The following is a 27,956-nucleotide window of genomic DNA, read 5'->3' as shown; positions in this document are numbered from 1 at the left end:
ACTAATAGGCTCAAGCAGTCCAACTGCCTCAGCCTCCCAAAGATTTGGGATTACAGGCGTGAGCCATCAGGCCGAGCATTCATACTTACTTTTGAATAATGAGTTTCGGAAACTATAGAGATTTAGCTACAAAGTTAATTCTCCCTCAACACTTTACAAAATATTGCACCAATACCTTCAATTGTTCGTTGTTGATTATAAGGAATCTGGTAAGTTGTTTCTCCTTTCTATGTAATGTTTTTCTTCTTTTCCCTTGATTTTCTGAGATTTCACTTTAATGTGTGGATATTTTTAACTTGCTTAGTACTGAGTATTAAGCTTAGGAGCTCCCATCATTTTGAATGGGTAACCGTTCAAAACTGTAGTGGGAGATTTGGCTTCCATTGGTCTCAGGTGTCCCAAATGGTGAAAGTGGTCAAAAGTGCTCAGTGGTCAAAGATGTGATTATATTCATAAATGCTTAATTTTCACCACCCCTAATTTTTTAAAATGACACTCTTGAGAACAAGTTGAGGCCACATTATTAACTAATCTGAGATGTCATTTATAAATGAAAACACATAACTCTTTTTATAGATAATTCATTATAATGGGTGTCATTAAAACGTGTGTTCTGACTCCATCAAAAACCTGTTAAATCTAATAAGTAAATTCAGCAAGATTGCAGAATACAAAATCAACATACAAAAAATCAGTAATGTCTGTATACAATAATGGCAAACTATCTGAAAAAGAAATGAAGAAAACAATCTCATTTATAATAGCTACAAAAAATAAAATATTTAGGAATAAATTTAATGAAGGAGGTGAAAAATCTCCACTGAAGACTATGAAACATTGATGAAAGAAACTGAAGAAACAAATATATGGAAAGTCATCTTGTGTTCATGGATCAGAAGAATAAATATTGTAAAATGTTCATACTACACAAAGTTATCTACAGATTCAATGCAATCCCTATCAAAATACCAATGACATTTTTCACAAAAATAGAAAAAAAATCCTAAACTTCTTATGGAACCACAAAAGATCCTAAATAGCAAAAGCAATCTTTAGCAAAAATAACAAAGCTGGAGGTATCACACTACCATAGCACTACCTGATATCAAAATGTATTACAAAACTGTAATAACCAAAACAGCATGACACTGGCATAAAAATAGACACACAGACCAATGGAATAGAATAAAGAGCCCAGAAATTTTATTGCCAACTGATTTTTATCAAAGGTGCCAAGAACACATAATGGGGAAATGACAGTTTTTTCAATAAATTATTGGGAAAACTGAATATCCACAGGCATAAGAATGAAATCAGACACTTATCTCTCATCATATACAACAAAAACTCAATTGGATTAAAGACTTAAATGTAATACCTGAAACTATGAAACCTACTGGAAGGAAATCTAAGAGAAAAGCTACATGACATTGGTTTGGGCAATGATTTTCTGGATGTGACCACAAAAGAACAGGCGACAAAAGCAAAAATAGAAAAATGGAACAACTAAACTGAAAAGCTTTCACACAGCAAAGGAAACAACCAGCAGAATGAAGAGACAATCCACAGAACAGGATTTGCACACCATACATACGATAAGAGGTTAATATCCAAAATATATAAGAAACTTTAAACAGTTCAACAGCAAGAAAATTAATGACCTGACTAAAAAATGGGCAAAATATCTGAATAGACACTTCTCAAAAGAAGGCATGTGAATCGCCAACAAGTGTGTGAAAAAATGCCCGACATCACTAATCATCAGAGAAATGCAAGGCAAAACCACAGCGAGATATTACCTCACTTCTGTTAGAATGGCTATTGTCAAAAGTCAAGAGATAACAAATGTTGGAACAGATGTGGGGAAAAGGGAACCCTACACACTGTTTTTGAGAATGTAAATTAGTACAGCCATTATGAAAAATAGTCTGGAGTTTCCTCAAAAAATTAAAAATAAAACTTCCATATGATCCAGCAATTTTAGAACTGGGTGTATATCCAAAGGAAAGGAAATCAGTACGTCAAAGAGATATGTGATAATCAAAATATGGAATCAACCTAAGTATTCATCAACAGATGAATGGATCAAGAAAATTTCACCTATATACACAGTGAAATACTATTCAGCCATAAAAAATAAAATCAGCATGGACGAACCTAGAGAGCATTATGTTAAGTGAACTAAGACTGGCACAGAAAGACAAATACTACATGATCTTACTCATACGTGGAGCTGAACAAAGCTAATATCATAGAAGCAGGGAGTAGAATGGTCTTTTCCAGAGGCTGGGGTAGTCAGGGGAAAAGGAGGATGGGGAGATGTTGGTTAAAGGATATATAATTATAGTTAGATAGGAATAAGCTCACGAGATCTATTGCATAGCATGGTGACTACAGTTAATTACAATACATTGAATTCTTGAAAAATGCAAAAATTGGAGGTTAAGTGTTCTCACCACGAAAACGATAACTGTGCGACAATATATTTGTTAATTAGCTAGATTTAACTGTTTCACAATGTGTATGTACTTCAAAACATCGTGTTGTAAACTATATATGTACAATTCTGTCACTTGAACATTTTTTAAATGTATATTTTGATTCTTGTCAATCACTTATATCTTGCAGTCAATAAGAAAGTAGATATAAAAACTTAAGAAAGAAAAATTAAATAAATCAATGTCACTATTTTGTTCTATAAACAGAAATTTAATATGTGATTAAAGTGTCATCACAAATCCATGCAGGAAATATGAACTATTTTTACTAGATCATTATGTGAAGAAAAAACAAAACTGAATTTCTAGTTAACAATATAGAAAAAGTGTACTACAACTAGATTAAAGACTGATAAGAAACATAAAACTACAAAGAGAATGGAATATAATGTAGAAAAGTATCCGTGCAATCTAGAGTCGTAAAACACTTTAACAAAAACCCAAAAGGAGAAAGGTGAAAAATTAATTACCTTGATTATGTCAAATTAAGGCTTTTTGGTTCACCAAAGAACATCAAGGGCAAAGATAAAGATAAAACCAAGGAACAATAATAAGTATATAGAAATAAACTTAACAAATGATGTTAAGACCTCCATAGTAAAATTACAAAACTGTATTAAAAAATATGAAATACTTAAATAAATGGGGAGATATACCATGACTATATCTTTATATCTTAAAAATGTTAGTTTTTCTCAAATTGATGCACAGATTTAAGGCAAATCATGTTAAAATCTAAAAAAAAGAAACTTGATAACCCATTTATAATATTTATATAGAAGATTAAAGGGAAAAATTGCCAGAAGAATTCTGAGAGCATATGCATGAAGGGGGGACTTATTATTTAGATAACAGGACTTTTGATAAAGCTATGGTGATTAAGATAGTGTGATACTATTGCAGAGATAGACAGTTAGACTAACAGAATAACATAGAGCTCAGAGGTTGACCCACACATGTGTGGAACTCATACACGAGAGGTGTATTGCGTCTGAAAAGTGGGTAAGGAAGAACTTCAATAAATAAAGCTGGGAAAACAGTATACACATGAAAAAACTGAATTCCTACCTCTCATGATATACAAAAATCAATTTCATACTTTTAATCCTTGATAGAAAAATATAGATGATTTCTCCTAAACTTTAAGGTAGGGAAATATTTATAAAATAAAACGGAAAAAAATTGACCATAAAAGGAAGAATTAATAACTGCAACTTTTCCAAGTAAAAACTTTTGGTTATAAAAGCAAAGCTTGAAGAAAATGAAAAGACATTTCAAACTAGGAAAATGTATTTACAATATTCACTATTGTCAAAGAATTGGCATCAAAAAGGCATGAAGTATTCTTATGCCAATAAGAACTCAAAAAAATCCAAGAAAATGTGGGCAAGATATTTCACCAAACATATGTGTGAGAAAACCTATGTGTTCAATAAAACACAAAGTAACAATCCCTGATGATGAGGGACATATATAGGAAGAATGCAATAGGATACATTTTTATACCCATTTAATTGGCAAAAATTGTAAACTCTGACAATATCAAGTGTTGGAACGGTTGTAGATTCACAGTACCTATTATACACTACTTTTTGGAGGATAAATTGATGCAGTGATTTAGAAAACAATCTGGCATTACCACAGCACAACATTTACCTACCCCATGACTCAGTAATTCTACGCCTTAGGTAAATAAACAAAATAAATCTAGTACTTGTGCACATGTTTAACCAAAGACATGTAAAATATTCACAGTGGCACTGTTCACAATGGCAAAAACTGGAAAAACAGAAAAGCACATAAACAGGGTAAATGTGGTAGATTCATATATTCACACCCAATGGAATAATATATAATGGTCAAAATGAATGAAATACAGTGACAAAAAATTATGAATTAATCTTAGCAGTATGGTAATACAATAGTTAAATGAAAAGTTAATTCTCAAAGAATTACATGATGTTTATTAGCCTTTTATCACGATAAAAATAATTTAAAATTACTCTATATATTTACAGTAAATATATAAACAGTAAAAATATATAAAATAGTAAATATATATATGAGTAAATACACACAAACATAAAGTTTATGTATATAAACTTTAGAAGCAACAGTACTATCTAAACAGGAAAGCTGAAGAATGATGAAAAGAGTCAGGATAATTGCTGCCTGATTTAGGATAGTAGGTTGGTGAAGAGTACTGTAAAATTAGATGTAGATTATCTAGGTCACCAATTCTGTTTGGGGGTTGAGGTTTTCCAGGTGGTTATTACGTAACCAAAATTAATACATGAGTGGAAGAAAGCAAGCAAGACATGCATAAACTGGACCCCTTCCTTACACCTTGTACAAAAATTAACTCAAGATGGATTACAGACTTAAATGTAAAACCCAAACCATAAAAACCCTAGAAGAAAACCTAGGCAATACCATTCAGGACATAGGCATGGGCAAAGACTTCATGATGAAAACGCCAAAAGCAACTGCAACAAAAGCCAAAATTGACAAATGGGATCTAATTAAACTAAAGAGCTTCTGCACAGCAAAAGAAACTATCATCAGAGTGAATAGGCAACCTACACAATGGAAGAAAATTTTTGCAATCTACCCATCTGACAAAGGTCTAATATCCAGAATTTACAAGGAACTTAAACAAATTTACAAGAAAAAAAAACCCTGTCAAAAAGTGGGCAAAGGATATGAACAGACACTTCTCAAAAGAAGACATTTACGTGGTCAAAAAACACATTGAAAAAAAAAGCCCACCATCACTGATCATTAGAGAAATACAAATCAAAACCACAGTGAGATACCATTTCATGCCAGTCAGAATGGCGATTATTAAAAAGTTAAGAAACAATAGATGCTGGCGAGGCTGTGGAGAAATATGAACATTTTTACACTGTTGGTGGGAATGTAAATTCGTTCAACCATTGTGGAAGACAGTATGGTGATTCCTCAAGGATCTAGAACCAGAAATACCATTTGACCCAGCAATTCCATTACTGGCTATATACCCAAAGGATTATAAATCATTCTACTATAAAGTCACTTGCACACATATGTTTACTGCAGCACTATTTACAATAGCAATGTCATTGAACCAACCAAAATGCCCATCAGTGATAGACTGGATAAAGAAAATGTGGCACATATACACCATGGAATACTATGCAGCCATAAAAAATGAGATCATGTACTAACAAGGATGAAGCTGGAAGCCATCATCCTCAGCAAACTAACACAGGAACAGAAAACTAAACACCACATGTTCTCACTCATAAGTAGGAAATGAGTGATGAGAACACATGGACACAGGAAGGGGAACAACATATACCAGGGCCTGTTGGTGTTGGGGGGGCGAGGGGAGGGTACTCAGAGGACGGGACAATAGGTGCAGCAAACCACCATGGCATACATATTCCTAGGTAACAAACTGCACGTTCTGCACATGTATCCTGGAACTTAAAGTAAAAAAAAAAAAAAAAAAAAAAATCTCATGAACACAAAGGAAACAACAGACACTGGGATCTACTTGAGAGGGAAGGGTGGGAGCAGCTAGAGGAGCAGAAGAGACAACTATTGGGTACTGGGATTAATACCTGGGTGATGAAATAATCTGTACAACAAACCCCCATGAAACATGTTTACCTATGTAACAAACCTTCACACGTACCCCTGAACCTAAAATGAAAGTTATAAATAAATAAATAAATAAATAAATAAATAATCATAAGTAACCCAATATCGTTTATTTGCAGTCTAAGGAAAAACATTAAAGTTAAACCAACAAGAAACAAGTATCTCTAGATTTTACAAAAACAGAGATTATATGTAATTTGTTACCTAACTCAGCCTAAATTTACTTTCTTTTTACAACAATTAGGCAATGCAAATTTTTTGAAAACATCAGATCTCAATTGTTTATCCCACTCTACAAAATGTCTCCTCCTAATTTATCCTAATTTTTTGGATCAGAAAATCATGCCCATTGTAACTACATTTAACAAAACTAAGCACTGAGTTTCAGCATTTATGCCAGTACAGAGTTTTCTAGAGGTGAACACTGTCCTGGTCGTGACACAACCATTGCCCTACCAGGCATACCTGAGCTACATGTAATTCCCTGATTTCCTGGCTGGATTGTATTCTAAACTCTTTTATTGACACACTATGCTCCCTTCCCCCACACTTGCCTAAGTCGTTTGTATCCTGTCATTTTCAACTTGGGTGTCACCTGGGAAACCTTCCTTGTTCTCCCTACCACCTACTACTGCCTGGGCTAAATTTATCTCTGTGTGCTCCAATGTCTCTATTTATTGCAGAATCTAGAAGATTAAATGTTTGCCAGTGTTTATTTTTTTTTCCATTCGACATGAGCTCCTGGAGGGCAAAAATCTATGCTTCATTTACTTTTGTATCTCCTTAATCTGACTCATATCAGATACCTATGTTTTCTTCACTTATAAATGCATTTCTTTCTATGCAACTTTAAGTAAAAGAAAACACCCTATTTCTTATAATTTTGTGTTACTACATTTTACAACTTAAAAAATATTTACAGTTGTGTTTATTGGGAGAATATTAAGTTCTGCAAATCATTTATGTTTCAACAGCTGACTGTCAACCCCACCTTAATCAGAGACACACGTGTCATAGCTATGGCTACTATTTTATCTGACAGCAAGGCTACCCATTTCACTAGAAAGGAGCTCATTTTCCAATCAGACATAATGAACACTTAAGGAAAGGCTATACTTGAAAGAAAACATTGCTTCATAGACTTATGTCAACCCATTGACCATATGTAAATATTTACATATACACTTTCTGCCTCTCTTGTCAATGAGTAGGTTTTCGCTTTATATTTCTGGAACCATGCTTTAGAAGTGCTTTAAGATACTAATTAACATAAAATGCACCCCATTGTCAATTTATCTTATGATCTTAATCAGCTAAAAACAACCAAAATTCCCAGAGAGAGTAACCGTGCCATAAGAAGTGACTGGTATTGGGATTCATCTCTTCTGTATTAGCACATGATGGCAATATAAGAATCCTAGAAAATCTAGACCACTCTTTTTAAAGAAATCCTTGAGCTTATTTTTCTTTATTCACTGAAGAAACAGTTTATTTGCTGCTAATTATTTCTGCCTTGGAGAAAAAAAAATGTAGCTAGTGGAAAGGAAATGGGATTGAAATTGCAAAAGAGTTCAAATCCTGGCTTCAGACTGTCATTTGAGTTAGTTATTTAATCTTTATGAACCTCACTTTCCCTGTCTGTAAAATGAAGATAATAACTACACTGAAGGTCAATGTTAGGGCTACAGAAAATGCACTTGGCACACTGAGGTAGAGAACGTGCTCAATGATAAGTTGCCATTATTACTAGATGTGAGAGGAAGAGAAGACCAGTTACCTAAATATGCATTTTTTATCTTTCCCTTTGTTCTTCGGACATGCTTTGCTTCTAGAGGTGTACATACATCCTATTTTGCAATGAGTATTTATGAGATTAATGAAGCTATTTGTAAACCATCACCTTCAGATAGAGAAAATAGCCTTTGTGTGACATGGGTACTTTCTGATTTTCTCTGAGTAACAGTGGGGTTTATAACTGTACTGATTGTATGCAGTCTGCTTAGTTTGTATAAACAGTTACATATTTTCTTAACACCCTGAATGTATAGATTGCCAAGTGAAAGAAAACCCATTCATTTTATTCACAATTGGGTGCATCAAAACACTGGAAATAAGAAACAATTCTAGATGTAATCTATATTTTTTGCACTGCTTTAGAGATACATCCTTTTTTTCCTGAGGCTAAAAGTGAAACTTCTGGTCTACACTCACTGTGCATATGATAAAAACAGTGCTGGGAAACTGGCTTGCTGCTGGCCCTCGCCTCTACTCTGGCCCTGGAGATGTGTTTATTTCTTTATGCAGATCTGTAAACCTTTCCCAAGACTAGAATTTCCAACCAAAGATAATCCCTTAAGTTTTGTTTAGCTCCCATCTAATCACTTCAAATACATAGGTGTTTCTTTCTTTTTTTTTTTTTTAAAAAACTTCCTGATTCTGAATGAGGATTTAGTTAAATGCCTGTTTAAGAATTGATGAGTAATTTAAAGGATTTAGGAGAACATTCTGTGCTATTATATGCAAATACATGCCATGCATGGCTCCCTATGTCATTAACCTGGCAGTCATTTCATGCATGACTCCCCATCTTATTAAGCTAGCAGTATGGAATATTTGATTTACTAAACTGGCATGAACTACTTAGTGTGCTAATATAGGAATATAACTTTTAAATTTCTTTGGAATAACTATCTTTGAAACAGATTCTTGAAGATGATAACATTATTTTGACAGCTGTGCTCAGTTTCTAAGAGTCTATTTTAGGAAGCGTCTTATAACGGGTAGAAATGTACCTGTGTGATTTGAATGAACCATACAATAATTGAAAATGAAAACCATCATAGAAATAAGAGTCCTTAGAATTCAGTAGCAAGTAATTCGACAACACAGGTAAATAAATTTTGTAGAAGCGTTTGCTTCTAGACAATATGTGTGACAGTATGTTATTGCCTGAGAGTCTGCCACTGGGCTCCCAGTTATCATGATGTTCTGAAAACTCTTTTTATAGCCAAGGCCCCCCTGGCTTTCCCCAGCTTTCGTTGCCATAGCAGCATTCATTGGCCATGGGATTTACAGAAAAAAAAGAGAGAGAGAGAGGGAGGAAAAGAGGGCTGCATGTTTGTAAAGTTGGTGCAGTGCCAAACGTAGTAGGAATTATACATTCAGGATGCTGGATTCTTCCTTTAGTGTCCATTTCAGCTAGTGCCTACTGTCACCCACATAATCACAAACCACTCTGTCATCATTCAGACCAGCTGCGTGAAATGAGACAAAGGGAAATTTAGCAGCAAGGGAGGAAATGGTAATTTAAAAGGCTTTTAAATGATGTTTTCTATGTTCCTCAATCAACAATATTTTAAAGCCTTTAATTTTTTTTTCAACAATAGGATTTCCTTGTTGTGCTGGCTTGACTGGTGACATATTAGCACAAAGTTGGCCAAAAAAATGTCAGAGACTAGAAAGGAGGTCCAACAGATAAATCTAAAAGCAGTTAAAAAGGAAATATTTATAGTAATTTTCATTTCTGCTAAACTTTTTGCATTTAAATTACACAGATAAATTTGCCTTCACTCTTTTTGACTATTGTATAATTTTGAATTAGAAGGATCAATGTTTATCAGATATGCCCTTTAATAAGTACTTCCAGATTTGTGATATTATGTTCATCGTTTCTTCAGTCGTGACACGTACTTCAGAATTCACAAGGCAACAGGAAAAAAAAAGGTTCATGAGGGAAGAAAACCAAGTGAATAACCCAGGAAAGTTGGTGAACTGTGACATGTGTTGGACTCATGTGAACCATGAATATGTAAGTGGGGCCCAGCTAGGCCAGGAGGAGAGGGAGGGAAGAGGATGTCAGGTGGGGAATTTGTCTAAGAGAAAGGGAATATAAAATGTGTTTGCTTGCAGCAATTCCAGGATGTTGGCTAGGATTTACACTAGGATACACAAATGGATGAAGTAATCTGTTAAAACTGGAGTAGTTTATTGGTAGATGGTTGGAAATAGAGAAAGTCGATTGTAAGAGAACCATTAATGTTTAGCAGAGCCTTTTGTTAGATTTAAAACAATTATGATCTCTTTATCTGAAATTATAAATAGCACCTGTATATATGGACAGAAAATTAGATGAATGCAATAGAGTAGAGATCCCAGACATGACTCAACATTATCTGGGAATTTGGTAAACCACAGAAGTGGCTTTACACATCAATGGGGAAAGAAAAAAAATTTAATGTTTGGTTTGAGGACATTTTGGTTATTTATATGGAAAAAAATTAAAAGAAGATTTATATGCCACATCATAGAAAAAAACAATTAAAATTTGAATAAAAAACTTAAAATGTTTACAAAAAATATAGATGACTTTTTATGAATTTAAGGAAGGTAAGCATTTTTTAAACTAGCTGTGAAAATACAAATTTTGAGGGATAAATAATATGTTGTTTTGACAATGGGCAATATAAACACAGTGAAAGAACAAGATAAAGTCTAGGAAAACATATTTCAATGCAATAGCTGAGAGGATTGTTTTTCAGAATGAATGAAGCACTCCTATAAATTAATTTTTAAAAAATTAACTCAGATAAAAATAGTATGAACAGATCACTTACAGAAAAAGAACCCTGAACCCGACAAACATATCAAGATGCTTCAACTCATTAGTAGGGAAATGCAAAGGAAAACAAAAATGTTAAGGATTTGACAAATATCAGATTGGCAAAAATTTAAAATCTAACAATGCCAAGTGTTGCTGTGCATTTGGGAAAACAATGCTGATGGGTGTTTGAAATGTTATCAGGAACTGGGAAACAATTTGGCAGGATATAGTAAAGTTTAAAATATGTCTCCTATAGGACTGAGTAATTCTATATCTATACACAGGTACCTACAAAAATATTGTAGCATTAATTCAATGGGAAACAAATATATCATAACATATTCATATTATGGAATACTGAATGCCTATTAAAATAGATAAAATAGAAACATGTTTTAACTTGAATAATTGAGAGAAAAACTTTCAGTGGGAAAAGTAAGTTTTAGTATCCAATATAAAATATGATACCATTTATAGTAACATAAATGTTATTGTGTTGATATAAAAGAGGTTATTTATGTATGCATAACTATATTATTAAAGCATGAAAACCTGGATGGGAAGAATATATTCCCAACAAAGGAAACACAGCCAAAGAATAAAGGAGGGAAAAAAAGAACACATAAACTGAATCTGTAATGATTTATTTCATTAACAAAAACACCTATTTTGGAAAGTGAGACAACCAAATATTGAGTGCTGGCTGATAGAACACTTAACCACCACTGAAGTGGTATTGCCAAAAATAACAATAATAATAATTAGACTCTGAGTCTAAACCTTGAGTCACAACTCAACAACACATTTAAACACATTTATTTCTTTATTTGTTTGTTTGTTTGCTTTTTGAGAGGGAGTTTTTCTCTTGTCGCCCAGGCTGGAGTGCAGTGGCACGATTTTGGCTCACTGCAACCTCCACCTCCTGGGTTCAAGCGATTCTCTTGCCTCAGCCTCCCAAGTAGCTGAGATTACAGGCACCCCCCACCACACTCAGCTAATTTTTTGTATTTTTAGTAGAGACGGGGTTTCACCATGTTGGCCAGGCTAGTCTCGAACTCCTGACCTCAGGTGATGCACCCACTTCGGCCTCCCAAATGCTGGGATTACAGGTGTGAGCCACCACTCCTGGCCTTTTAAACACATTTATAGGAAGTACAGGGGACAGAGCAACATTTTAAACATCACGATGAGGGTGAAATCAGTGAAATTCAAACTGTGGAAAACTCAATAAGCAAATGACCTAGTTTCTTCAACAACAACAACAACAACATTGTAAGCCCCCTGACCACACCCCCCACCTCCAAAAAAAAGAAAAAATAATCCAGGGGAATGTTTAAAATTCCTATTAAGCAATGTCAATGTGAGGGCCTTGTTTAAATCCTGATTCAAACAAAACTGTAAAAAGTTACATTTATGGGACAATTGAAAATGTAAATACCTACTGCTTGTTTCATATCTTAGGTGTAAAATCAGTAATACAGTATATTTAGGACGATATAATAAATAATTAAAGAAAACTGTAGATAGGCAAGCAGTCCCAGTTCTTTACTACAAATTAAGAGCAGTACACAATCAGTTCTGAAAACATCCCTAGAGTGGTCAGAAAAAGCTCATTCATTTACTTATTTAACAAATGTATAAAGAAGCTATCAGATGTCACATATGATACTCTTTTATGCATTGGAGATAAGTGAGTGAACTAAATAGAAGATCTCTTCCTTTATGGAGCTTAAACTCTATGAGGGAAAATAAGTAAATAAACATGTAAATAAATGATACGCCATCTGGTAGTAAGTAGTAGATCAAAAAATAAAGCAGGTCCGGGCACAAGGAAGGGGAGGCTTTTCATTGTATATTCTGTCAGGTGAGACCTCACTAATAAGACTGCTAAATAGAAAGATCTGAAGGATGTATAGACAAGCCAATAGCTGCAGGGGGATTGGGGGGCGGGGGGAACATTCCAGGCAGAGGAGACAGCCAGTATAAGAGTCCTCAGGTGAGACCATATGTGGGGTAATCAAGAAAAACTAGAGGAGGTCAGGTGTGACTGGAGAGCAGTGAGTGATGTGAAGAGTTAGAGGGCACATGGAGACAGGTCATGCAGAGCCTTGCAGACCTGCTTTAAAGCTTTGCATTTTACTGTGGATGAGGTGGGGGGTCTAGTGGAGATTTTCAGTATTGATGTAAACATTCTGACTTAAATTTATAAGGTTTGCTCTTTTGTTGTTTTGAGATTAGACCTTAAGGCCAGAGCAGAAGCTGGAAAAGCAGTTAGCAATCAATTACAACAATCCAGTTGTTCATTTCACTTGAATCTCAACAAAATCTCACAACACAACATCTGATTTTCACCTCAAATCTCCAATTCTTGCTGACTTCTCTATTAATTTTATTTGCCCTAACCCCAAACCTCTTTTTCATACTCCCATAAAATCCTTCAGATTGGGACTCTACTTTCCAAATATATTCAGAATGAAACACATTTTTTTATTGTGATAAAATACACATAACACAAAAGTTAACATTTCAAACAATTTAAGTATATGTTTCTGTGACATTAAATATATTCATAATGTTGAAACCATCACCACCATCTATCCAAAACTTTTTCATCTTCCCCAATTGAAATTCTGTACCAATCAAATGCTTAACTCTCCAGTATCTCTCCCTCACTAGTCCCTGGTAACTACCATTCTACTTACTGTGTCTACGCATTTGACAACTCTAGAAACCTCATGTTAGTAAAATCATACAATATTTTCCTTTTTGTGACTGGCTTACTTTAGTAAGCATAATGTCTTCAAGGTTAATCTATGTTCTAGCATGTGTCAGAATTTCCTTCTATTTTAAGTCTAAATAATATTTAATTGTATGTATATACCACATTTTGTTTTCCAATTCATTCTTCAATGGATGGTTAAGTTGTTCTCACATTACTTTTTTTCTATTTTATTTTTATTTTAAATTTTTTCTTCCAACTTTTATTTTAGGTGCAGGGGATAGAAGTGCAGGTTTGTCACATGGGTAAATTTCATGTCACTGGGATTTCGTGTACAATTTTTTCATCACCTGGGTAGTGAGCATAGTACCTGACAGGTAGTTTTTTGATCCTTACCCTTCTGCTACCCTACAACCTCAAGTAAACTCCTGTGTCTGTTGTTCTCCTCTTTGGTTCCATGTGTTCTCAAAGTTTAGTTCCCAGCTGTAAGTGAGAACACATGCTGTATGTGGTTTTCTGCTCCTGTGTTAATTCTCTTAGGATAATGGCCTCCAGGTGCATCCATATTGGAACAAAGGGCATGATTTCATTCTTTTTTATGGCTTTGTGGCATTCTATGGTGTATATGTATCACACTTTTTTAAACTTTCATTTTAGGTTCAGGAGTGCATGTGCAGGTTTGTTATAGAGGTAAACTTGTGTCATGGGGATTTATTGTACAGATTATTTCATCACCCGGGTACTAAGCCTACTACCCAATAGCTAGTTTTTTCTGATACTTTCCTTCCTTTGACCCTCCACCTCAAGTAGGACCCAGTGTCTACTATTGCCCTCTTTGTGTCCATGTGTCCTTATCATTTAGCTCCCACTTGTAAGTGAGAACATGCAATATTTGGTTTTCTGTTACTGTATTAGTTTCCTAAAAATAATGGCCTGCACCTCCATCCATGTTCCCGCAAAGGACATGATCTTATTCTTTTTTATGGCTGTATAGTATTCATGGTGTATATATATTAACATTTATTTTTTATCCAATCTGCCATTGATGGGCATTTAGATTGATTCCATGTTTTGCTATTGTTAGTAGTGCTGGTAGAACAATTTCTATTCCTTTGAGTATACACCCAGTAATGAGATTGCTAGGTTGAATGGTAGTTCTGTTTTTAGCTCTTTGAGGAATCACCACACTGCTTTCTACAATGGCTGAACTAATTGCCACTTCCGCAACAGTGTATAAGTGTGCCCTTTTCTCGACAACCTCTGCATCTGTTATTTTTTGACTTCTTAGTAATAGCCTTTCTGACTGTTGTGAGATGGTATTTCATTGTGTTTTTGATTTGCATTTCTTTGATGATCAGTGACATTGAGCTTTCTTTCATATTGTTGGCTGCATGTATTTCTTCTTTTGAAAAGTGTCTGTCCATGTCTTTTGTCCACTTTTTAATGGGGTTGTTTTTTTTCTTGTAAATTTGTGGATATTAGACCTTTGTCAGATACATAGTTTGCAAATATTTTCTCCCATTCTGTACTGTTTACTCTGCTGATAAGTTTAATTTGCTGTGCAGAAGCTCTTAAGTTTAATTAGATGCCCTTTGTCAATTTTTGCTTTTATTGCGATTGCTTTTGGCATCTTTGTTCTATATAGTCTTTACCAGTTCCTGTGTCCAGAATGGTATTGCTTATGTTGTCTCCAAGGGTTTTTATGGTTTTGGGTTTTACATTTAAGTCTCTAATCCAACTTGAGTGGATTTTTGTATATGATGTGAGGAAGTGGTCCAGTTTTAGTCTTCTGCATATGGCTGGCCAGTTATCCCAGCACCATTTATTGAATAGGAAGTCTTTTTCCCATTGCTTATTTGTGTTGACTTTGTCAGAGATCAGATGATTGTAGGTGTATAGCTTTTATTCTGGGTTCTTAAAACTGTCCCATTTGTCTGTATGTCTTCTTTTGTACCCTGATGTTTTGTTTACTGCAGCCCTGTAGGAACGTTTGAAGTTGGGTAATGTAGCGCCTTCAGCTTTGTTCTTTTTGCTTAGGATTGTTTTGGCGATTTTTGCCCTTTTTTGGTTGCATATAAATTTCAGGATAGTTGTGTTTTTTTCAAGCTTTGTGAAGAATGTCATTGGTAGTTTGATAGGAATAGCACTGAATCTGTAAATTGTTTTGGGTAGTATGGCCATTTTTAATAATATTGATTCTTCTTAACCATAAGCATGAAATGTTTTTCCATTTCTTTGTGTCATCTTTGATTTCTTTGAGCAGTGTTTTGTAATTCCCATTAAAGAGATCTTTCACCTTCCTGGCTGGCTATATTCCTAGGCAGAAATCAAGGAGTTCTTTGACACCAAAGAAAAAAAAATCTAGAACATACTAGAATCTCTGGGACACAGCTAAGCCTTGTTAAGAGGGAAATCTATAGCACTAAACACCCACATTAAAAAGTTAGAAAGATTTCAAATTAACAACTTAACATTACAACTAAAAGAACTAGAGAAGCAATAGCAAATCAACTCCAAATCTAGCACAATAAAAGAAATAACAAAAATCAGAGCTGAACTGAAGGAGATCAATACACAAAAAGCATTTCCAAAGATTAATGAATCCAGGAGTTTGCTTAAAAAGCAATTAATGATAGATAGGCTGCTGGCTAGACTAATAAAGAAAAGAAAGAATACTTCATTGAACACAATTAGAAATTATGAAGGGGATGTTATCACAGACCCCACAGAAATACAAAGAATGATCAGAGACTACTCTGATGCACATAAACTAGAAACCCTAGAAGAGATGGATGAATTCCTGGACACATACACCCTCGCAAGACTGAGACAGGAAGAAATTGATTCCATAAACAGACCAATAATTAGCTCCAAAATGGGATCAGTAATAAGTAGCCTACCAGTCACAAAAAGCCCAACCAGATGGATTCACAGCCAAATTCTACCAGATTTACAAAGAAAAGCTAGCATCGTTCCCACTAAAACTATTCCAAAAAATTGAGAAGGACAGACTCCTCCCCAACTCATTCTATGAGGCTAGCATCGTACCGATACCAAAACCTGCCAGAGACACAATAAAAAAAGAAAACCTCATACCAATTTCCTTGACGAACATTTATGCAAAAATTCTCAACAAAATACTTACAAACCAAATCCAGCAGCCCATCAAGAAGCTAATCCATCACCATCAAGTAGGGTTTATGCCTGGGATGGAAGGTTGGTTCATACACAAATCAATAAATAATTTCAGTTTTTAAAAAATTTTTTTGAGAATTGCTTTAGGGTCGAGTGTGTGGGCAATCTTAACGTATATGCCATGTGCAGATGAGAATGTATATTCTGTTGTTGTTGAGTGGAGTGTTCTGTAGATGTCTGTTAAATCCATTTGGTCAAGTGTCAAGCTTAGATTCTGAATATTTTTGTTAGTTTTCTGCCTCAATGATCTTTCTAACACTGTAAGTGGGATGTTGAAGTCTCCCACTGTTATTGTATGGTTATCTAAATCTCTTCATAGATCTCTAAGAACTTGTTTTAAATCTGGGTGCTCCAGTGTTGGGTGCTTATATCTTTAGGATAGTTAAGTCTTCTTGTTGAATTGAATCCTTTATCATCATGCAATGCCCTTCTTTCTCCTTCTTCATCATTGTTGATTTAAAGTCTGTTTTGTCCGAAAGAATAGCAACCTCTTCTCTTTTCTGTTTTCCATTTTCTTGACAGATCTTTCTCCATTACTTTACTTTTAGCCTATGGGTGTCATTGCATGTGAGAATAGTGTCTTGAAGACAGCATATGGCTGAGTCTTGGTTTTTTGTTTGTTTGTTTGTTTGTTTTTTAGATGGAGTCTCGCTCTGTCGCCCAGGCTGGAGTGCAGTGGCGTGATCTCTGCTCACTGCAAGCTCCACCTCCCGGGTTCACACCAATCTCCTGCCTCAGCTTCCCGAGTAGCTGGGACTACAGGTGCCTGCCACCATGCCCGGCTAACTTCTTGTATTTCTAGTAGAGATGGGGTTTCACCGTGTTAGCCAGGATGGTCTCGATCTCCTGACCTCGTCATCTATCCACCTCGGCCTCCCAAAGTGCCGGGATTACAGGCATGAGCCACCACGCCCAACAGAGTCTTGCTTTTTTATGCAACCTGCCACTCTGTGTCTTTTACGTGGGCCTTTTAACTCATTTACATTCAAGTTAGTGAGATTTGTGAGGCAGGACACGAAAGCAAGATCAAGCGGGGCTAATGACTTCTTACATATTCTCCCAATGTGCATTATTAAGTATATTACAATGTACAATATTTCACTATAAATTATCACAATGGCAATAAGCCTAAGAAAAACATATTCTGGGAGCTGTGTGCAGTTTGAATTTAAGCAGAAACATTTTGGAGGAGGTGGGTACAGCACTTAAGGGAAAGGTAACCTGCATCTCACCAGGATAGTGACTGAAAATGGAAAAAGGAACCAAACTCTGTTCCCTTTCCCCACCTCCTCCTTTTATTCCCCTCTTCCATATTTCTGTGTCCCAGTCACATGTCTGTCTTTCAAGTTCCTGAAAGGTCATGATGCTTCCCACCTGAGACATTCCCCCTCTCCATGACATCCCTTTTTCCTTTATTTTTTCTGCTCTTTTACTCTGAGCTTCCTCCTGGGATTCCCCAGGTTAAGTTGGGCATCATCAATTATAGTTTTATATAGTATGGAGCAACTTTATTCTTTCTCAATTGCACTAATCACAATTATAAGTGATTGCCTGATGATATGTCTTTTTTTCTTCCTAATATACTGTGATCTTTAAGCAAAGGGATCAGGTAAGTCTTATTCACCCCTCAAGTCCCAAGCTTATTATATACAAAAGAATAAGATGTCTTTTTCGTGTTCTCCAATACATACATGATATTGGAGATAATTCCATTTAAGATTTTAAGTAGTTATCAAACGTTTAAAACATTTTGAAAGTCAAATGCTTTGCACTGTGCTCATATAGAAAGTTGACCATAGTTCTGCATGAAACCTGAACAATCGTTAGGTTGACTAATACAAGAGTTTGGAGTATGTAATATTTTACAAAAAAGGTAAAAAGTCTCTACATAATGCACCCCATGTTTTACTGCTTATCAATCTTAAGCAGTAGGAAAGCTGTAAATTTAGAAATGTGTTTTTAAAGGAAAACAAGTTCAATATATTGGTGTTGCTTCATTTTTAAGTTTACAAACTTGTGAAAAAAAATTAAATTCCTTTTAGTAACATCATTTAATTAATTTAGCTTCATTCTGTTTTATAATGAAGATTGATGTATTTCTAAATTATACTGCATCATGTTTGATTTATCCAATCTCAGTATTGAAAATGTTTTTAAAAAATTCTAATTATTTTCATCAAAACAAATTCCTGTCTTTACTATTCTGCATGTTAGAGTTCATTGAAAACACTCATTAATCTAGCAGTTTAAGATTTTAATTTCCAGATGGAATGATTAGCATTTCTAAGTTTCTTATATTCAAACCACAAATATAAACCCTTTTCAGGGGTCACTGGAGGCAAATAATTTAGACCTAATATTTTGCTAAGTTAAACATGGTGCTGGTTTATGTAATTAATTTAATAATATTTGCTCTGACACCGTATTATTATTTTCAAGATTTTACTTTTAACACAAGCTAATTTATTTGAATAAATAGTATGTGTATAACACATCTTGAAGAATTCCCTTGTTTCATTTAAGTTTTTGCGTATTTGAATCCTGTCATTCATTTTTTGTTTCTCGTAAATTGATTATTTAAAAACACTAGATACTATTGAGAGAACTGAAGTGGGGTTCATTGATGTGATATTAAATTCAGATAATCATGTTACTTTAATTACTTATTCCCTTCTTTAGAGAAAGTAGTTTAGGAAACATAACATCAGTATACTCTCCTTAACAAAAGAAATATTTAACATACTAAAAACAGTTGAAGACGAGCAATAAGGGTGACTATAATACAGGAATATTCCCATTATATTCAGGGAATGCATTCATGAAAATATGAACAGCTATTGAATCAATCTTTGATGGGTCCTTATAACAAAGTCCTTATAGAGATGCTTTTCCATTAGTATAATGCAGTCATGACTTGCTTTGGTTAATCCTTACTGGATGCTGTGACATATACAATATTCTTCATGTCAAAGAAATTCATCAATTTTAGTTAAAAATGCAAAACATGTCATTGAAAATGTATACGATGTAAGTGTGTGGTTTAGAAGTAATAACCAAATAATAAATGAATACTCATGTATGTATCACTCAGCTGAAGAAAAAGTTAAAGCCTCTTATGAGCCTATTTCCATAACATCTCCCTCCCTCCCACACACATAGAACGAGCAGTTTGAACTTTGTATAATCACATTAATTTGCTTTTCTTTATAGTGTAGCCATAGATACTGTAAATGCATTCCTAAAGTAGATATTACTTAGCTTTTCCTTTTTTGAACATTTATATTGGATCATACTATATTTCTTTTCTGTGACTTTATTTCCTCACAAATATTTATTGATATATGCAGTTTTGAGTACTGTACTCTGTTGTATTAATCTGCCATCACTCATTTATTTATTTAAGCTTCTAATTGTTTTTTGCTATTATGAACAATGTGTTTAAGAACATTTTGAACATCTGATGTTCACGTGCAATTTCTCTAGACTATATATGTGGGAGAAGAATTACTGAGTCAGATTATGAGTCAGTGGAACTTTACTAAGTGATGAGAAATTACTTTCTAAAATAGTATCAGTTTACATTCCCATCACTTCCTCATTTCTGCAAATTCTTGCTAACATATAGTATTGTCAGACTTCTACTTTTAAAAATGAAACTAGTGATTGTGAAATTGTGGTCTTAGTTTGCATTTTCTTTATTATTAAGAAGGTTAAACATTTTTTAATAGGTTTATGTACTCTGTGTTTCTTGTTCTATAAATTTCTACTCTTGACCGGTATAGGCAGCCTCTAACATGGACCCCGGTGATCTTTGCCTCCTTGTGTAATCTCTTCCCTTTGAGTGAGCACTTAGACCTAGTGATTTGCATATGAGAAATAGAACAAGGCAGAAAATGATGAGATGTCATTTCTGAGATTAGGTTACCAGAAGACTGTGGCTTCCGTTTCCTCTCTCTCACCCTTTCATGGACTCACATTGCGAGAATCCAGGACTCAGGTTGTGAGCTACCATATGGAGAGGCCCACAAGATAAGAAACTGAGGGAGGGCTCTGGCCAATAGCTGCAAGGAATTGAGGCTCTCAGTTCAATGGGCTGGCAAGAACTAAATTCTGTCAACCACCGTATGAGATAGCATGACAGTGGATCCTCCCCTAGCAGAGCCTGCGAAGGAGACTACAGCATCTCCTGACACCTTGATGGCAGCTTTGTGAGAGACCCTGGGTCAGAGGTACCCACCTGACTTTCTGATCCATGGAATCTGTGAGATAATGAGTATTTACTGTTTTATAGTTGCTGAGTTTGGGAGTAATATTGTCATACCTCAAATACCTAATAAATAAAATGACTTTTGAGGCTGTTGTTTTCTTAGGGCTTCACAGTGGTTCTTTATATATTATATTCTGGATGCAATAATCGTCAGTCATATGTGTTGCACTAATATGTTCCAAAATTATAATTGTAACACTTTTTCTGTTGTGTCTTTTGAAGGAAAACTTCTGATAAAAGATAAAAGATTATCTATTAAATATTTATTTATATATTATATAAAATATATATAATAGATGTATAATATATTAAGATATATGTTAATCTATATTAGATATTAAGATATGTATATTAATATATAGGATACCTATGTTATAGATATCTTAATATATGTTATATATCTAATATAGTAAATTTAACATATATGTTAAATTTGTATATATATGCTAAATTTATTACATATGTTAAATATATCTATATATAGATATCTTTGCCTGTCAAAATTCATTTTCTTTTTCATGAAAATGAACCACTTGCATTACTATGAGCAAGAAACAAGTGACACCCATCTAAAGATAACCAAACATGCACAAATCATGGAATTACACAATTCCCAGAGGACTGGTTACGTAATGCCCAGCATCCCATTGAAAGGACATTTAGTCGTTTCTTCTGTGACATTTAAAAATTTATCCACAATTCTTCCTGGCAGTCACTCTACTCCCCTTATGATCATAAATAATATCTCTCTTTCTCGAGGTTATTCTTATTCACAAAAAGGCTTGTTTCATTCAGGTTTGTGATAATGGTTCACATAAGTGAAGCAAGAATAATAACTAAACATACAAGGCCTCCTTGAGTTGCTTTGCAAAAATACAGGCATATGGTATCAAGCAACCACTAAAGCTACAGAATTAACATTTGTTTGAAATTTTCCATAAGAAATTTCAGATAGGACTTTTAAAAGCCTCTGTTTTTGGTGTTGCAGGTATTACAGGGCTAGTAAATCAAACCCCCAAAAACTTTCTCCACCGAACTTCACCTGTAACCTCTACCATTTAAAGGAATTTCCATTTCTGTGAGGTTCCCAAGATTTGCTAAACCTACCAGCCTGGTAAGAGCTCACCTTCCTTACTATGTATAAGACTGGGAATGCATTAGTCAGGCATCATGTCAGTTTTCATAGGAGGTCTTTTTAAGCCATACATCTATGTATTAAGTCAACTTTGTTCTTTAATAGTGGTTCATCATAACTGATTGAATGAGAATTTGTCTCAAATATGCCACCAAAAGTAAGATCGTGGTTACATAAGAAATTTGTGCAATTATATTCTGGATTAAAAGGAGGAAAGATTCTGTTTCAATCTGTGAACAAAAGTGAGCTTGAAAGAGCAAATCCCTCAAGATGGATTCCAAGTAGCTAACTGGGCCTAAATTTAAAATAGAGCCAAGCAGCCACTTCCCGACTACAGGACACACACACACTCTGACTTCCCGCTAAACCCGCACCTCTTTAAATCTGGGAGTTTTCAGAGCTCTGCTGTATCAACCAGTTACAGCTGAGATGAATTGCCCAATCAGAACTCAGCTATATTGACCAATCACAACTAAGTAAACTTGAATCCTTTATCTGCATAAATGAACCTGATTGGGAACCCAAATGAGAGCTTTTGCTATAAAATCCAAACCCTGGCCAGGAACAGTGACTTCTGCCTGTAATCCCACCACTTTGGGATGTTGAGGCAGGAAGATGGGTTGAGGCGAGGAGTTTGAGGCCAGCCGAGGCAACATAGTGAGACCCCCCAAACAATTTTTTGTAAATTGCTCTACAAAAAGCAATTAAAAAAAAAACCCAAACCCTCTGTTCTCTGGAATACACTCTGTATCTTCCCACTTTGCAAACTGTTCACTGTCACAAAGTCTCTTTCCCTCAAATTCTGATGTAGAGAACTTCTGTTTACAAAATCTATACAAATGACTCTATTGCCATGAAGCACAAAGGGTATCTGAATTCTGGGTTTCACTGAGAAGCAGATGTAAGTTTAAAATGTTTCATTTTTATTTATAAAGCAATCTATTAATTTAAGCCTTAAAGGTCACTCAAGAAAAGACAGGATTTCCTTATATAGCCATAAAAAATAGAGCATTAAAATGGCACCAACAATATCTCAAATAACTAGAAAAAAAATGGCACCAACAATATTTTAAACAAATAACTAGAAAAAAATTTTTCTAGTCAGTTCGATGAGTGCTATTTCAGGGGTCCCTAGCCCCAGGCCACCCTGTGACCGCTAAGAACCAGGCCACACAGCAGAAAGATGAGCAGCAGGCAAGCAAGCATTACCACCTGAGCTCTGCCTCCTGTTAGATCAGCGGCAACATTAGATTCTCATAGGAGCACAAACACTATTGTGAACTGCACTTGCGAGGGATCTAGGTTGGGCTGCTTGCTTATGAGAATCTAACTAATGCCTGATGATCTGAAGTGAAACAGTTTCATCCCGAAACCATCCCTCCACCTTTCCCTTAGCCCATCGAAAAACTGTCTTCCACAAAACTGGTCCCTGGTGCCAAAAAGTTTGGGGACCGCTGTGCTATTTAATTAATTCTTGTTTGCTAAATTTGGTTCAGTGGTCTGATTTCATGAAGTCTTTTACCTGTATACTAAAAAGAGTTCTGGAAATCCTGACTCAGTCAATGGTGTGGTCTGAAAGTTATCTAAGCAATGCCAGCTCAAGAGTTTGCGCCCAAGAGTCTATTCTTTGAAGTATCACTTGGAGTACGATAGTCCTCCCTTAGCCTCGAGGGCCATTCCAAGACACCTAGTTGATGCCTAGAACCATGAAAAATATCAAACCTTATATACACTATGTTTTTTTCCTAATTTAGTGGAGAACTGTCACTTTTTCACTGAAAGGAAGCAATTTACTGCTTTCCTTTTCCGTATCCAAATTGCCAGCATCACTACTGTTGCACTTTGGATTCATTACTAAGTAAAATAGGGGTTATTTGAACAGAAGCACTGATATACCACAACAGTTAAACTGATAAACGAAGATTGCTACTAAGTGACTAACTGGTTGGTAGTATCTACAGCATAGATACATTGAGCATGAGCAAACGGGTGATTCATGTCCAGGCCTGGATAGAACTGGATGGTATAAAATTTCATCACCTTACTCAGAATGGTGCACAATTTAAAACTTATGAATTGTTTATTTCTGGGATTTTCCATTTAATATTTTTGGATTGTGATGGACCATAGGTAACCAAAACCATGGAAAGTGAAACTGCAGATGGGGGCTTACTGTATCTTGTACAGTCCATTCTATCAGGCTCTCAGACTGCCCTTTGTGAAGACAAAAACTCCGGTCTGTAATTTATAGGAGAGCCTTCAGGCACACATTAGAATACATAAAAAATCATCTACAGCATGTTATCTGTTATCTGTAGATAATAAACATTTAATGCTTGTCTTTCACTCAAGGCCCAAGGGCTTTTCAGTCAGCTTGTGATGAATGCTGCTCGGCCTGGCTCTCTCCCTTCAGTGCAGTGAGCTCCCCTCTAGCCTCCACCTCTAGGTAGGTCCAGATAGTGACCACCTAGGAGCCAAGGCATGGAATTGGGAACCCCAGGAGTCTTCTTGGTTCTCTAGCTTACTGTGGCCAAGCTCTTACCCAAGCTGCAAGACAGTCTCGTTTACCTTTCCCTCTCCTATTCACAAGCAGAAGGACTCTTTCTGTGGCCACCACAGCTGGGAATGTGCTGGCTCACTCCTGAAGCCAGCACAGCACTGGGTCTCACCCAAGGCCCATGGTAGTACTGCCTGGTTATTGCTAATTTTTATTCAAGGCTCAAGGTCTCTTTAGTCAACAGGTAATGAATCTTGCCAAAACCGGGTCCTTCCCTTCAAGTCAGTGGGTTCTCTTCCAGCTCACTGTGTTTCTAGAAATGTTGCCTGGGAGGCTAGGGCCTGGAATGGGGGCATCAGGCTTGGGGCCTTATACCACTGTGGGTAGCCTGGTATCCAGATTGCAAGATAAAGTCCTCTTTACTCTTCCCTCTCCTTTCCTCAAGCTAAGCAAGGGAGTCTCTCCCAGATCTGTGAGCTGTATTGCCTGGGGTTAGTGAAGGGGTGATGCAAACACTCATTCGGCTACCACATCTGGGGTTTCACTAGTTCACAAGTACCCCAATTCCACTGGCTCCGAGCCCAGCATAGCACCAGGACTTGCCCAGGATTACAGTTCTTGTGGCCTTTCTAGTTGATTTGGGACCCCAGAGCACTTTAGCCCATGGAGGAAAGGCTTCCTGGAATTCAGGTTCTGACCACTGGGATGGATGATTTCTATCTCATTAGGGCTGGTCTAAATGCTCCCTCTCTGGATACCAGCGGAATTCTACCTTGTGTTGCTTTCCACTGTGACAGACAGCACTGAGTTTCAATTCAAGGTCCACAATTACTGCACTCTCCCTTCCCCAAACACAGATTCTCTCTCTGCATCATGTGGCTGCTGCAGGAAACTGGTGAGGGATGGTGTCGACAATTCGAGACTGTTTTTTCCTACCCTCTTTAGTGCCTCTTTCCCTGATGTGATGTTAAAACCAGGTATTATGATCATCGTTCACCTGATTTTTGGTTCTTATGAAAGTGCTTCCTTGTGTGGATAGTTCAATTTGGTGTTCTTCCAGGGGGAGATAATCACTGAAGCTTTCTTGCTCTGCCTGCTTCTAGCTGTTTGTTTTTAAATTTAAAAATTTAAACTAGTCTCACTTTCCAAAATGTTTCTGTGCTAAAAATTTCTGTAAGAGAGATGATTTTAAAAGTCTAATTCATTTAAAATAGTAGAATTTTCTTATTTTCTGGGAATTTAAAAAATATTTATTTATCTAAGTACTTATTTTTCTCCATAAAGCAATCCCATCAGTGTTCTTTTAATGTAAAATATAAAACAATATAGTTTATTAAAAGCTTTCAGAGGCAGGAAAACCATGAGAGGTAAAGCATTGCTTGAGTATAGACAATGATATAAAGAGAGACAAACAGATGCAGAGAGAACATATAGCTTCAGTTCTACAATTTCAGTCACAGGCAGGTCAAAGCGAATACAAACATTAAAACAGATTTTACACACATCAAAAAGTTGTTCTTGCCAATGGCTACAGAATTTGTAAATTAATTTGAGTTCAAAATAAACTATCAAAAAGACTAAACACTAGATTCTCTTGTCTTTCATCTAATAGGAAATAGATGTCTACCATCCAGCAATAATAATCACCGAATGGTTAAGCCAGAGGTTGGCAAACTATGGCTCACTGTCTATTTTTGGATAACATAAGAAGAGATTTTTCCATTTTTAAATGGTTGGAAAAAATCAAAATAATAATAATATTTTGGGACATATAAAAAGCTTTATTAAGAAATTAAATTTTTAGTGCCTATACTTAAAGCTTTATTGGACTGAGCCATGTTTATCATTTGCATATTTTCAATAACTAGTTTTGAACTTGCCATGGTCTGAATGTTTGTGTCCCACTCCAATTCACATGTTAAAATTCCAAACCCCAAGACGATGGTATTAGGAAGTAGGGCCTTTAGGAGGTGATTAGGACATGAGGGTGGAGGCCTTATAGATAAAATTAGTGGCCTTATAAAACAGATCCAGGAGAGACCCCTTGTAAGAATACAAGGAGAAGGTGTCATCAACTTGAGTATCCATTACCTAAAATGCTTGAGACCAGAAGTGTTTCAGATTTTGAATTTTAAAAATACTCATACTTACAGTACATGTGTATTAGTGCTGATGCATGTGTTTCAATGATTATTTCCCACTCATTACCTCTTATTTTGTATATTTGTGCTTGCTCTCTTTTTTTTTTTTTTTTTCAAATTAAGTTAGCTAGTTGTTTACTTTGCTGGATATTTTTATGAACCATCACTATTTTTGCTGTTTTACTAATTTCTACCTGATTAATTTCGGCTTCTATCTGTATAATTTTGCTCTTTGTCCTTTCTTTTGTTTAATTTAAAGTTCCTTTTCAAACTTTTGTGTTAGAAAATATTATCTTATCATTTTTATTAAAATAATTATGTAAGGCTATGTATTGTATTTAAATAATTGCTTTAATTATATATTTTGATATATAGTATTTTCATTAAAAGTATGTTCTAAAAATTCTGTAACTTCAGGGCTCTTTTCTCTTTTTGTCTAAGTGTTCTTTCACAGAGAGTTAAAATTGCAGACATTTTGGATGGGGATTTGATTATTTATTTTGATTTAGTTTCTATTTCCTTGCATTGTGATCACAGAATATTATTAATCTTTTTTTTTTATTTTATCGAGACAGCTGAAATTGTGGAGCAGAAATTGTGGAGAAGATAAAAGCCATGTCCCCTATGCCATGTTTAAATTACCTCGTCCACAGAATTCACAAGTATAATAAAATTATTGTTTTACATCAATAAGTTTTGGTTCTGACCAAAGTCATTTGTTACTCTTTATTAATAACTGGAACATGGTAACACATAAGGAAAATTTACTTTATGATTTTAAAGAATAAAAGAAACTCAGCATTGGTTATCACACTACAGATCACAAAACCCAATCAGCCTCCTGATGTTTGAATTCCCTCTAAACAAAGTTGCTAGTCATCATCATCCATACCCGATTCATACACTTCCAGTTACTGAGAGTTTACTTATTATACAAGCTTTCATAATCAGGCTAAAATTATTTTTTCTTTCTGGCATTAGGTCGTAGGACATGATAAAAAAGAAAAAAGGAAAAAAGGTGGGAAGACTGAGAACTCACCTATTGATTCAGACCAAAACCCAATTCAGCTTTTCCAGAAGACAAGAGTGTATGTAATTGTTTCTCTGGTTCAGTTTTTCCAACATGTAATAGAGCTGAGTAGGTGTAACAGCTTTTATAATTTCTGCTTTTAGCTTCTGTTCTATATAAAATAAATTTAAAAATGGTACTTTGTTTAGTATTCAATTTATCAGATATCTGGCGTCAAAAATGGCTGATC

At 35.2% G+C, this 27,956-nt stretch overlaps 2 long non-coding RNA genes across 3 annotated transcripts in view, besides 1 other annotated feature; one reads left to right on the top strand and one right to left on the bottom strand.

Moving 5' to 3' along the window:
• LINC02046 (long intergenic non-protein coding RNA 2046) overlaps positions 1–27,956 on the bottom strand; it is a 119,066-nt gene that overhangs the window by 59,968 nt on the left and 31,142 nt on the right. Inside the window, exon 3 of the long non-coding RNA NR_146712.1 lies at positions 27,737–27,878. This is a non-coding gene — a long non-coding RNA (long intergenic non-protein coding RNA 2046). The remainder of the gene's footprint in view (positions 1–27,736; positions 27,879–27,956) is intronic.
• LOC105374148 (uncharacterized) lies at positions 14–27,905 on the top strand. 2 transcript variants are annotated; one of them, XR_924567.3, is made up of 5 exons: positions 14–209; positions 9,821–9,951; positions 21,913–22,038; positions 25,414–25,533; positions 27,273–27,390. It is a non-coding gene; the product is annotated as an uncharacterized LOC105374148 (long non-coding RNA). The 2 variants fall into 2 exon arrangements; XR_001740955.2 differs by lacking the exons at positions 25,414–25,533; positions 27,273–27,390 and adding an exon at positions 27,679–27,905.
• Positions 20,523–20,582: an enhancer, noted in NCBI's record as "active region_20677". NCBI's record gives its function as "activates an Ori minimal core promoter by ATAC-STARR-seq in GM12878 lymphoblastoid cells {active_cell/tissue: GM12878}" and the evidence as "EXISTENCE:reporter gene assay evidence [ECO:0000049][PMID:35858748]".

This window comes from Homo sapiens, chromosome 3 (assembly GCF_000001405.40).
Source record: "Homo sapiens chromosome 3, GRCh38.p14 Primary Assembly".
Classification (NCBI taxonomy): Eukaryota; Metazoa; Chordata; class Mammalia; order Primates; family Hominidae; genus Homo; species Homo sapiens.
Note: the sequence above shows the minus strand (reverse complement) of the source record. Positions and strands in the feature narration are given on the sequence as shown.